This window comes from Homo sapiens, chromosome 3 (genome assembly GCF_000001405.40).
Source record: "Homo sapiens chromosome 3, GRCh38.p14 Primary Assembly".
Taxonomy (NCBI): domain Eukaryota; kingdom Metazoa; phylum Chordata; class Mammalia; order Primates; family Hominidae; genus Homo; species Homo sapiens.
This window is the reverse complement of record NC_000003.12, coordinates 108,427,812-108,441,508: the sequence shown is the minus strand read 5'-3', so window position 1 is coordinate 108,441,508 and position 13,697 is coordinate 108,427,812. Positions and strand designations below refer to the sequence as shown.

At 38.7% G+C, this 13,697-nt stretch overlaps 1 protein-coding gene across 2 annotated transcripts in view; it reads left to right on the top strand.

Moving 5' to 3' along the window:
* MYH15 (myosin heavy chain 15) overlaps nucleotides 1-13,697 on the top strand; it is a 170,705-nt gene that overhangs the window by 109,564 nt on the left and 47,444 nt on the right. For both annotated transcript variants that reach the window (XM_011512559.3, NM_014981.3), the window contains 5 exons: nucleotides 249-491; nucleotides 1,596-1,772; nucleotides 3,810-3,955; nucleotides 10,587-10,677; nucleotides 12,628-13,017. In XM_011512559.3, the coding sequence (XP_011510861.1) occupies nucleotides 249-491; nucleotides 1,596-1,772; nucleotides 3,810-3,955; nucleotides 10,587-10,677; nucleotides 12,628-13,017 (1,047 nt within the window). The remainder of the gene's footprint in view (nucleotides 1-248; nucleotides 492-1,595; nucleotides 1,773-3,809; nucleotides 3,956-10,586; nucleotides 10,678-12,627; nucleotides 13,018-13,697) is intronic.

Sequence of the window (13,697 nt, the reverse complement as noted above, 5' to 3'; positions counted from 1 at the left end):
GAAGAAGTAATCTAATCTACTGAATTGGCCTGAGAGATTGAAAGCACCTCCAAACACAAGCAACTTCTCCACTTCTCAGTGATCGGATCAGGGACCTGGGAATATTATTGCAGCTGTTTAGGAAAGGTAGGTGAAAGTGCTGGGCAGAGGGCAGGCAATTATCTCTTTGCTGTGTGTTAAGCAGCATTTTCGCCTAGCTGATAAATTACTTCCAGCTGTTGGCAACAATTTTCTCCTCATCATGGCAGGAGCAAGAGACACTGGCAAATGTTGAAGAGCAGTGCGAGTGGCTGATTAAATCCAAGATCCAGCTGGAGGCCAGAGTAAAGGAGCTGTCGGAGAGGGTGGAGGAAGAAGAGGAGATAAATTCTGAGCTGACTGCCAGGGGGCGGAAACTCGAAGATGAATGTTTTGAGTTGAAGAAAGAAATCGATGACCTGGAAACAATGTTGGTGAAGTCAGAGAAGGAGAAGCGTACTACAGAGCACAAGGTACTTTTTCCATAATGTTAGTTAAGAAGGCCTAGCAGCCAGAATTCCACTCTCAAATCAGGTTTTGGTATCTGACTTGCTCTATTCAAGTTAATTAACACAGTGGCCTGCAACTTTACAGCATTGAGAGTCAGAACTGGCACAAAATATAGAGTCTGATAAACTATGCTGTCCCAATTCAGATTTCCAATTTGAACTTATGGAACCTTATTTAATCTCCCAAATGAAACATTTTCATTTGTTTCAATCCTATTGCATCTGAACTCTGTAATAGAGTAAAATGGTTTCATCGGGCCTGTAAGAACCCTTTTTTTTTTTTTTGGAAGGAGAGGGAGCATGATATGGTTTGCTAAAAGATAATTTGGGATGTGCCTGAGTCCCCAGCTGTGTCATTGATTTGGAGTTTGACCTTGAAGATGTCACTTTAATTCTAGTTAAGGGCTTTCATGTTTTGTTTTGGCTGAGAGTTTGTTTGAGGGTTTTAACTTGCGCATCTGTGTGTGGATTGAGGACAGTGAGGAGTCCGCATCAAGCCTCTGATACACAATCTCCAAAGTGACACCGTAATTTTGGCAGGCTATTAAGTAGCACTCTTATTTTTATTGATTCCCTTTCATAAAAAGCACATGGGCCTGATACAGTCAACTTCCATGTTTGCATGTTTTATCAGCTGGAACCTTTCTTTAACTGCCACTTTCTTGGGATACTGAGGCACAACACAATCAGTACATGCCATGACTCCTCAAAAGAAATTGCAATTGCTTTTAGTGTTGTTACTGTTATATAATAATGTGAATTAAATTGGCCATCCAATTTAGTTCATATTAATAATGTTAAATAATTATAAATAATGTTAATTATTTACCCATATTAATGTTTAAACAGAATACTCCATTTCCTCACCATGACAGATAACAGATCATTTTTGTGGGAGAAAAACTAAATGTAGCTTTAGAAAGCGTATCAGGAATTTGGCTAAATACAGCTTTTTGTGACATTGGATACCTCATGCGTAGTTTTGGACGACAGAAGAGAAATGACCCTCAGTGTTATGCCCAACTTTCCAGCAGTGGCTTTAATGAAGCTGTCATCTTCTTCCCACAGGTCAAGAACTTGACTGAGGAAGTAGAGTTTCTAAATGAGGATATCAGCAAACTTAACAGAGCAGCCAAGGTTGTGCAGGAGGCCCATCAGCAGACCCTGGATGACCTGCACATGGAGGAGGAGAAGCTCAGCAGCCTGAGCAAAGCAAATCTGAAGCTGGAACAGCAAGTTGATGAGGTCAGTAACGGTGTATCTGGTTAGTTATCTATCTGTCTACATATACACATAACTCCAGTTTTTACTTCATTAATTTATCTTGACAGTTTCAGAAAAACCTAGTAGCATAGTTTGTTTTCCTGATTATTGAGAATAAAAGGGTTCTTTTTCTTATACACAAAACCACGATAGTATAAGAGAGGTCTCTGCATATAATCTGTCGGTTTTTAAATGCAATTTTCATTCAACCCTGGGCAATGGAAAAAGAACATTAAGATGAATGGTAAAGGGTTATCACTCTAGGTGACTGGCTTTTCCCCATATCTCCCACAGAACCTGGTATTTTGCCCCACAGATATGCTGGTACTCTATTTACCACTAGTGTTGAAGGATTAGTTTTAAAGGCCATGTGTGTTTCCAGTGGTGTGCTGAGATTTATTTATGGTTGAAAGATATGTGAGCCACAAGTTGTGTTCTACCTACACTATTGGAAAATACTTTTAAGATTCTAGAGATGATGCCCCTATTTTGCCTCTAAATGCCCTGTGAAATAAAGCTGTTTCACACCAGTTTCAATGTGTGGGTTCATAATTCTTCCTTTTTCCCACCCCAGCTGACATAGTGTATGCATTTATGCTCACAGTAGTCCCCAAAGTGTAGCCTTTATAAAATTGTTGACAAGAGTGGTTAGGTTTTTTTTTTTTCTTCTTATCTGCTGCTCTTTCTTCCTGCCTCTATATAAATTTCTTCTATTATCTATTCGTTGTGTTACATTTGTTCCTATTTCCAATAATAACATATCTCACAAAGCCTCAGCATAAGGATTTTTGGGTGTTTATATGTGTGCTTATATATGCACATCACACACACCTACCCACACCCACACACCCACCCACACACTTATTCTCTCCTGGTGTCTTAGTCCATTCAGGCTGCTATAATAAAATACCATAAACTGGGTGGCAAATAAATAGCAGTTTATTTCCTACAGTTCTGGAGGCTGGGAAGTCCATGATCAAAGTACCAGCAGAGTTGGTGTCTAGTGAGAACTCATTTCCTGGTTTATGGAGGGTGACTTCTCCCTGTGTCCTCACATCACACAAGGAACAAGGGAGCTCTCCAGGATCTCTTTTATAAGGACTAATTCCATTCATGGGGGCTCTACCTTCATGACCTCATCACTTCCTAAAGGGCCCACCTCCCAACACCATCATACTGGGAATTAGGATTTCAGCGTATGAATTTGGAATCCTTTCCAGAATTTCTCCCTCCTTCCCAATTTGAATTTCATCTCTTTGGCTGGTTACAGAGGATATCTTCCATTGTTTTAAAGTAAACATATCAATAAATAAAAAGCCATATTGTGACTGTTATCTAGCTTCCTGGAAAATTAACCTCTATATAATTCCTGGCAATACTAATCCATACAAAACTGGAATGTTCTGATGGGGAACATTTAGTGAGGAACCAGAATATGACATAATGTTATGAACTGGAAGAGGGTACCAAGGTGGTGACGGGGCTTGGAAATCATGACATGTGAGAATGTGTTTGAATGGGCCAGTGATGCCAGGGGGTTCTTGCAAATTATTAAGGATGATCATGCGGAAACTGATTTGCTTGGTGTTGCTCCAGGGAGCAGAGCTTGTACTTGTGGATAGAATTTACAGGGAATATTTTGGCTTCTTATGAAGAAGCACTCCCAAGTAAATGGACTTATCCACCCGTGAAATGAGCCGCCATGTGAAGAAGTGAGCTTCCTATCATTGGAAAACGATCAATCAAGGGCTCACTGGCCATTTCTTGTTGGTTCCTTCCCTAAGACAGAACTCATATTCTGTTATTTCTAGTTTTCTTCCATCCCTGTGATTTCTGGATTCTTTTGTTAACCTATTGACATATGCAATATTTATTTGGAAATATCTATGTTACTGGGCATCATTTATAGAATTTGTGCTTGTGTCTTTCTTTTTCCAGAAGGTAAGTGGTTAATGAACACATCTAGTGAAGTATAAACTCTACCTATTTATTTAGCTAAATAATGTTTCCTTTTGTCAGCTTGAGGGTGCCCTTGAGCAGGAGAGAAAAGCGAGAATGAACTGTGAAAGGGAACTGCACAAACTGGAGGGCAATTTAAAGCTGAATCGGGAAAGTATGGAGAACCTGGAAAGCAGCCAGCGACACCTGGCAGAAGAGCTGAGGAAGTAAGCCACCTTTCTGTTGACATGAGATTGCTGGAGACCTTATATTAGAAGGAACAGCTTTCTCATTTCATTTATCCTTAGGACTCCAGGGCCAGATAGCTCAAGACCCAAGGCAAGGATAACAAGCCTAGGAAACAATTTTTTTTTTCTTTACTGGACTTTATTTTATAGTTGTAAAGAGACCAGATGCATAATCTAGAAGGACGTAACAGAAAATACCTGACTAGCAAATGAGAAAGAATGGTGTAAGGTATATGAGATGTAAACTTTTGGGAACTTGCAGCTATACGTCAAAAAAATAAAAATGACACTCTTCTTTTTACTCATGACGAGACCAATGGCATAAAATGTAAAAAAAAAAAAAAAAATTGATCCTGATGTGAAGACTTACATACTCAGATTACTTAAATAATATATGTTTGCCAGACATAACTTAATATTTATATAGGAATTTGGTGAAATAATTTACTATATAAATATTAAACCTTAAAATCTAAAACAAGCCATGAAAATGATCAAAATTAGGGAAACTTTCAATTCATCTGGATTCCTTACACCCCAAAGAACTCAGGGCAACTTGGCTTTCTCAGTTTAGTTCTACTAGTCAGTGACATGGATTTTCTCACCTTCTCCCTTTTGTCATCTTCCTCTGTTTAACTAGACTTTTTTTTTTCTTTTAACCATTAGGGATTTTCAATTTATTTAGATTATACCAAATAAGAGAAGAAAACAGTGAGGATGAAGAGTAAGATGGGTCAGGTTTCCGAGGTGGGTGGATCACGAGGTCAAGAGATTGAGACCATCCTGGGCAACATGGTGAAACCCCATCTCTACTAAAAATACAAAAATTAGCTGGGCGTGATGGCATGTGCCCATAGTCCCAGCTACTTGGGAGGCTGAGGCAGGAGAATCGCTTGAACCCAGGAGTCGGAGGTTGCAGTGAGCTGAGATCATGCCACTGTACTCCAGCCTGGCGACAGAGCGAGACTCTGTCTCAAAAAAGGCCACATTAAAGATAGTAGTATATCAATGGTTGAGGCCCACAGTGAAAGAGGGAAGAGAGTCCAGTGACCAGCTGTGAGCATCTGGCTTTCTTGTTGGTATATACATATGCTATTATACATGCTCTTGGTGAGGCTTGACTCATATTCTGCTAACAAGTTACTGGGCTTAATAGGTGTTTAGAAACGATGAAACAAGCGACCTTATGAATGGAATGGAATAATTAAAGCAAAATGATGATAGAGTTCCCTTAGCATTCAATTTTGAAGTTGTGTTTCAGTGCAAATGATAACCAGCAAAGTGTAAATGATACTGTATGTCGTGTAGGCCACAGGTCAAGAGTTTTAGCATTTTAGAAATCCATATTTTCAAAAAGTTGTAACTTTATTATAAAACTTTTCCCCTAAATAGACCTATGTATATCTGAAACAATAAGCGATAAAGGTGGCATTTCAAATTAGCGATGACAAGAGACTTAAATGGTATTGGAATTATTAGCTATTAATTTCCTGAGGTGAGAGAAATTGCTACCTCATACAATTTATAAACACAAACTTCAGTTGCACTAATGAACTCAATGTCAAAACAAAGCCATAAAACCATTAGAAGATGCCACATTATTCACAATAGCCAATATATAGAAGCAACCTAAATATTCACTGATACATGAATGGATAAAGAAAATGTGATGTGTGTGTGTGTGTGTGTGTGTGTATACATATACATATATGTATATATACATATACACAAAAACCTATTGAAATAAAAAATAAACTTAAAAATGAAAAAAAATCCCAAACACACACATACATACATTCATACATACATCTGTATACATACATATATATATATATATATGTATATAAAATATACATACACAGTGGACTATTATTGAGCCTTGAAAAGAAACCCCTGCCATGTGGAAAAACATGGATGAATTTGGAGGACATTATACTAAGGGAAATAAGCCAGTCACAAAAAGGAAAAAGACTGCATGATTCCACTGATAGAGGTATCTAAAATAATCGAATTCATAGAAACAAATTCATAGAAAAGTGGTTGCCAAGGGCTGGGAGGAGGGAGAAATAATGGAGAGTTTCTGTTCAATGAGTATAAAGTTGATTATGTAAGATGATTAAGTTCTAGAGATCTGCTTTACAACATTTTGCCTGTAGTTAACAATACTACATTTTGTACTTAAAAATTTAAGAGAGTAGAGCTCATGTTAAGTGTTCTTACCACAATTTTTAAAAAATTAGAATAAAATACAGTCAATAATTCTTAGGAAATTGACAGGATAAGTCTTCTTGAACAAGTCACAAAAAGCCAAAGACAAAAGGAAGGCATTATATATTTGACATCAAAATTTTAAACATGTGGCAAACGCCAACACAAATAAAATGGAGACAAGTTATAAAGTGAGATAAAAATTTGTAACAAATATAAAAAATGTCAAGAATCCAAGGAAAATCTATAACTCAATAATTAGATGAACAAACCTAACAGAAAAATGGGCAAAGAACATACACAGGCGGTCCATTTGGTTTACTGGCCATTTAAAAATACTAATAGTTGACAAGATGCAGTCATTACTAGTAAACGAGGGCATTCAAAATAAAACAATGAAATAGTAATCTATTTTCTAAGAAAATTTCAGAAGTATGATATTAAGAATAAATGTAGAGAAGCAATGATCTCACACTGCTAATGGAGAGCAAGGGACAGGGCTATCTTATTTTTTTAGCACTCACCTATACATTACCCAGTAATTTCCTGCTCAGTGTCCACTCTAGAGGAACACTCTCATGTATACAAGGGGCATGATTATGAATAGTTTGATTTGTAAAAGCAAAATATTAAGGAAAACCTAAGTGCTTATTAATTGTGAAATTCAAACTAAGGAATGTCTAAATCGTGAAATATTATGTCATAGTTAATTTTTAAATGGAGTACTCTGTGTAGGCTTGTGTAGAAAAATATTGAATTAATATGTTATTAATATAATAATTAGCTTAAAATATAATAGCTTAAGATTTTTAAGCTTAATATATTGATAAGAATACATTCTCAGGCTGGGTGTGGTGGCTCATGCCTGTAATCCCAGCACTGTGGGAGGCGAAGGTGGGCAGATCACCTGAGGTTGGGAGTTCGAGACCAGCCTGGCCAACATGGATAAACCCTGTCTCTACTAAAAATACAAAATTAGTCAGGCTTGGTGGCACATGCCTGTAATCCCAGCTGCTCAGAACGCTGAGGCAGGAGAATTGCTTGAACCTGGGAGGCAGAGATTGAGCTGAGCTGAGATCACACCATTGCACTCCAGCCTGGGCAACAAGAGTGAAACTCAAAAAAAAAAAAAAACCATTCTCAATTCAATAATATATTTAAAATATTAAATACAACAATATTTAATATTAAATACAACAATATTTAATATTAAATACATATTTAATATAAATGCTATTATCAATATCTTAATGTAATAATATATTAATATCAATCAAGTTGTTAATCTATACATGCAAATGTATGTGATATTCTATCACAGTAAGGAAAATGAAACTCTACAGCTACATGTACACATGTAAGCACAAACATATGTCAGTACTTAAATTTCTGGAAGGATTTACACTAAATGGATAATGGTAGTTTCCTCTAGTGGGAAAGCAGGGATTGGGTATGACATTAGTTTGTTTTCATGTTGCTGATAAAGACATACCCAAGATTGGGTAATTTATACAGGAAAAAGGGTTTAATGGATTTACAGTTCCACATGTCTTGGGAGGCCTCACAGTCATGGCAGAAGACAAGGAGGAGGAAGTCACATCTTATATGGATGGCGGCAGGCAAAAACAGAGAGAACTTGTGCAGGGGGACTCCTCCTTATAAAACCATCAGATCTCAAGAGACTTACTCACTATCATGAGAACAGCATGGGAAAGACTTGCCCCCATGATTCAATTACCTCCCACAGGTTCCCTCCCACAACACCTGGAAATTCAAGATGAGATTTGGATGGGGACACAGCCAAACCATATAATTCTGCCCCTGGCCCCTCTCAAATCTCATGTCCTCACATTTCAAAACCAATCATGCCTTCCCCACAGTCACCTAAAGTCTTAACTCATTTCGGCTTTAACTCAAAAGTCCACAATCCAAAGTCTTATCCAAGACAAGGCAAGTCCCTTCTGCCTAATAGCCTGTGAAATCAAAAGCAAGTTAGTTATTTCCTAGACACAATGGGGGTACAGGCACTGGGTAAATACAGCCATTCCAAATGGGAGAAATTGGCCCAAACAAAGGGGCTACAGGCCCTATCCAAGTCTGAAATCCAGCAGAGCAGTCAAATCCTAAATCTCCAAAATGATCTCCGTGTCTCACATCCAGGGCACACCGATGCAAGAGGTAGGTTCCCATTGTCTTGGGCAGATCCTCCCCTGCGGCTTTGCAGGGTAAAGCCTCCCTCCCAGCTGCCTTCATGGGCTGGTGTTGAATGTCTGCAGCTTTTCCAGGTGCGTGGTGCAAACTGTCAGTGGATCTACCATTCTGGTATCTGGAGGACAGTGGCCCTCTTCTTACACTTCCACTAGGCAGTGCCCCAGCAGGGACTCTGTGTGGGAGCCCTGACCCCACATTTCCCTTCCACACTGCTATAGCAGAGGTTCTCCATGAGGGCCCCGCTCCTGCAGCAAACTTCTGCTTGGGCATCCAGGCATTTCCATACATCTGAAATTTAGGTGGAATTTCCCAAACCCCAATTCATGACTTCTGTGTACTCGTAGGCTCCATACCAGGTGGAAGTTGCCAAGGCTTGGGGCTTGCACCCTCTGAAGCCATGACCCAAGCTCTATGTTGACCCCTTTCAGCCATGGCTGGAGCAGCTGGGACGCAGGGCACCAAGTCCCTAGGCTGCACGCAGCACGGGGACCCTGGGCCCAGCCCACGAAACCAATTTTTCCTCCTGGGCCTCTAGGCCTGTGATAGGAGGGTCTGTAGTGAAGACCTCTGACATGGCCTGGAGACATTTTTCCAGTTGTCTTGGGTATTAACATTTGGTTCCTTGTAACTTATGCAAATTTCTGCAGCTGGCTTGAATTTTTTCTCAGAAAATGGGATTTTTTTTTTTCTATCACACTGTCAGGCTGCAAATTTTCCAAACTTTTATGTTCTGCTTTCCTTATAAGACTGAATGCAGGCAGGGTGCAGTGGCTCATGCCTGTAATCCTAGCACTCTGGAGGCCAAGGCGGCCAGATTGCCTGAGCTCAGGACTTAGAGACCAGCCTGGGCAACACAGTGAAACCCTTCCTCTACTAAAAGACAAAAAATTTGCTGGGCAGGGCAGCATGAGCCTGTAGTCTCAGCTACTCAGGAGGCTGAGGCAGGAGAATTGCTTGAACCTGGGAGGTGGAGGTTGCAGTGAGCCAAGATTGTACCACTGCAATCCAGCCTGGGTGACAGAGCAAGACTCAGTCTGAAAACAAAACAAAACAAAACTGAATGCATTTAACAGCACCCAAGTCATCTCTTGAATGCTTTGCTGCTTAGAAATTCCTTCCACCAGGTACCCTAAGTCATATCTCTGAAGTTCAAAGTTCCACAAAGTTCTAGAGCGGAGGCAAAATGCCACCAGTCTCTTTGCTAAAACATAACAAGAGTCACCTTTGCTCTGGTTCCCAAGTTCCTCATCTCCATCTGAGACTACCTTAGCCTGGATTTCATTGTCCATTTCATTATCAGCATTTTGGTCGAAGCTATTCAACAAATCTCTAGGGAGTTTCAAACTTTCCGCATTTTCCTTTCTTCTTCTGAGCCCTCCAAACTGTTCCAACCTCTGCCTATTACCCAGTTCCAAAGTCGCTTCCACATTTTTGGGTATCTTTTCATCAGCACCCCACTCTACTGGTACCAATTTCTATATTAGTCCGTTTTCACACTGCTGATAAAAAAGTTACCTGAGACTGGGTAATTTATACAGGAAAAAGGGTTTAACAGACTTACAGTTCCATGTGGCTGGGGAGGCCTCACAATCATGGTGGAAGGCAAGGAGGAGCAAGTCACATCTAACGTGGATGCTGCAGGCAAAAAGAGAGAACTTGTGCAGGAGAACTCCTCTTTATAAAACGTTAGATCTTGTTAGATAGACTTAGTCACTACCACAAGAACAGCACAGCAAAGACTTGCCCCCATGATTCAATTACCTCCTGCTGGGTCCCCCCTACAACATGTGGAAATTCAAGATGAGATTCGGGTGGACACAGCCAAACCTTATCAGGTATCATAGCCAAGAAAACTTCAGATGTAGGTATAATCATTGAAGTTTTAAAATGAGAATGAATTATTGTGTTATATCTATAATTTAAAACATAATTAAACAAAATGGTATTTTTTACTTTTGGTTAAAGCCTGGTTGTGTTTTTTTATTGATATATAATAATTGTACATATTTTTGGAGTGCATGTGCTATTTTGATGCCTGTATACAATGTACAATGAGTAAATCAGGGTAATTGGGATATCTATCACCTCAAACATTTATCTTTTCTTTGTGTTAGGAATATTACAATTCTAACTACTTTAAACAAAATGTTATTATTCTGAACAATTGTATTTGATATCTTTTTCTAAACAGAAAAGAATTAGAATTGAGTCAGATGAATTCAAAAGTGGAGAATGAGAAAGGCCTGGTAGCTCAGCTTCAGAAGACGGTTAAAGAGCTTCAGGTAATCAATTATCAAATATGCCTGTGTATTTATATTTAGATCCATGGGTGATGACTGGTGGTTCAATGACTAATTCTCTGCCAAGGTATTCATACCCTTAGCCAACCACAGGCAGAGGCAGAAAAGAACAGTGGTTAAGAAGGGAAACTGTGGCATTCCACAGATAGAGTTAAGCTTAAATTTCCTTATGAGAATAATAAAAATGAATAGCTAATTGGTTGACTGTTTGCTGTGAACCAGGCATTGTGCTAAAATCCAAAACTTGTTTTTTCACTCATGAATCCTTCTGGCAACGATTGAGCTCATATTACTAAATGCAACAATATATTTAAGTAGTAAGCACAGTGCCTGACCCATGGTATGCATTCAGTGTTAGCAATTTAATTTTTATGATGATTATTCTTTGTGATTAGAAGGCGATTGAAAATCAGTAAGTTCTATAGGTACTTGTGGCCTCAAAACATTATTTGATAATGGATAGCTATTTATAAGTTTTAGACCATGTGAGTTTTATAGCATATGACCATGTTGTAAAGTAATTTTACACACAATTGCACACATACACATTTAGATGGATAATTTCCCTTTGAAGCTAAATAAATATCTTAGTAATATAACCATGACTCAAAATAATTTTGGAACATCTTTCTGATATTTATCTTCTGAGATATTTTGAGCCAAATAAGAAAACCAGTCTCAATGTTTTGTAAACATTTTAGTTTCAGACACACTATTAATCTCCAAGTGGTTATCATATTCATTGGGCTTGTCTTCAAATGACTCTTGACTTTATCCAAAATAAAGTAAAAAAACACAAACTTTTCTATATATCCAAAAGACAAATTTCCTTACCTTGATGACTCAAAAAGTTCTCTAAAGATTATTTCTGACAAAACATTTCAGAAATGTTTGGTTCAATGGTGGTATTATTTGGGATAAATATTTTCTTGGATCCCATGATAACCAGTTGGAAGAGGATCATGGTTACTTGAATGTGGAAATCATACTTTCTTTAAGCACCTTTTCTGTCATACCTCATCTATAGAACTGATAGACTACTTATTTGATATAATCTAGAAATTAGTTTTTTCTAAGCCACAGTAGTCTTATTTAATGGAAAGGAAAACATATTCTAAAACAGTTTCTATCTTGTTTTCTCCCCTATCCTAATCTATGCCTAATTACTTAAGGTGATGATAATAACATCAGTGGCTTCATTGTACTGTAATACAGTAATGTTCTCAGGATTTGTAGACCTGTTTGGCCTATACTAAAAGGGCTTGGGGCTCTGAGAGTTGTTATCACCTTTTTTTTCCAATAATCCTGCCTCTGATGATACTGTATCTCTACTCGCTTTAGTAGTCCACATTCCTTCACCAGCTCTCGTTTGTTATTTCAAATCTCTTCCTTGAAATCTCCTGCAGACTAGAAAACCAAGTAACCAAGTTTTTTAGAATTGTGTGTAAAATTAAATTGATGCTATTTCTTACAATTAAATTGCTTGAACTTGAAGATGTTCATTTTATTGATCAGATTTTTGCCCAAGTCCTAGATAGTTGAGATCAGATAAACGAATTTCAAATGAGGAAGATTTTTGTATATAAAATTTACCATTCCAATTTTTATAAATGCTCTTAAACAGTTTTTTTGGTCGTATGAAAGATATTTTCCTGTTTCTTTGGGAAGTGCTCTTTACTAAGCTTTCCCCTCCATCTATATAATTTAATGAGCTTGCCCATCATCAGGGGCTGAGCAATTTGGCAGAACTGCAAATTCTAATTCTGGTCTTGGTACTGAATTGGGGCAAATCACTTAACTTCTGTGTATTCTGTTTTCTTTAGTTGTAAATTGGGAACCAAAAGTTTCATGTTAGCTTTGTGATTAAAAAAAAATAGAGTAAAGCTCTTGCTACAAGTGCTTAGTAAAAGTCAAAATTATTTCTTGCTACAGACTCAAATAAAGGATTTGAAAGAGAAACTAGAAGCTGAAAGGACCACTCGAGCCAAGATGGAAAGGGAGAGAGCTGACCTCACCCAAGACCTGGCTGACTTGAATGAGAGGCTGGAGGAGGTAGGAGGATCCAGTTTGGCTCAGCTGGAAATAACTAAGAAACAGGAAACCAAATTCCAGAAGCTGCACCGAGACATGGAAGAGGCCACTCTGCACTTTGAGACAACTTCTGCATCTTTGAAGAAGAGACATGCAGACAGCCTGGCTGAGCTCGAGGGCCAGGTAGAAAATCTACAGCAGGTCAAGCAGAAACTGGAAAAAGACAAGAGTGACTTGCAGCTAGAAGTAGATGACCTCCTGACCCGTGTTGAGCAGATGACAAGAGCTAAGGTAGATACTCCCATGCCATCCTCGTGGTCTTCTGAACATGGAAGTAGGGAGGGGAAGAAATGGGAGGGGAGGGAAAAGAAAAATAAGCCAGCTTAGTGACTCAGTGTATTTTCTAATGAAGACTATAGTCCTTTGGACGGAATAGATCAGGCCTGACCTTAGTGGTCATTGTTAAGGTCACACAGCCATCACCAGAATGTGACCTGACAGTGGCCTCTGGTTTTAACAGAATTCAAATCCATGTTCCTTATGGATTTTTTTAGTGATTGCACAAGTAAGTGAGCTGGAAATCTGAGGCCACTATCTATGTCTGTCTTGAAGAATGACTTTTGTTATAAGTGCTCCTCAGTGATGGCCTGGATACTCCTAGAACCTATCTGAATGAATGGTGTACACAAACAGCTTTGCTGAGAGGAGGGAACTTTTTCTCCCTCAAGTCCTCTGGCATCTTTTTAATCAGCCAGTACTATAAGAAAGGTTCATCACATGTTCTTTCTTTACTGAGCCCATTAGCCTATATGCTGCAAGCTGTCATGTCAAATGGTTACTATGAGATCATCGAAATCAGCGACCCTGTCTTTTGGTAGTTGAGAGGAGCTTTGCTTTAGATTAAGCAGAGCAAATGGCTAGTTGCTGCAACCTTCTCTCCTTGTGAGCAGATTTTATAAAGTCATCTGGGA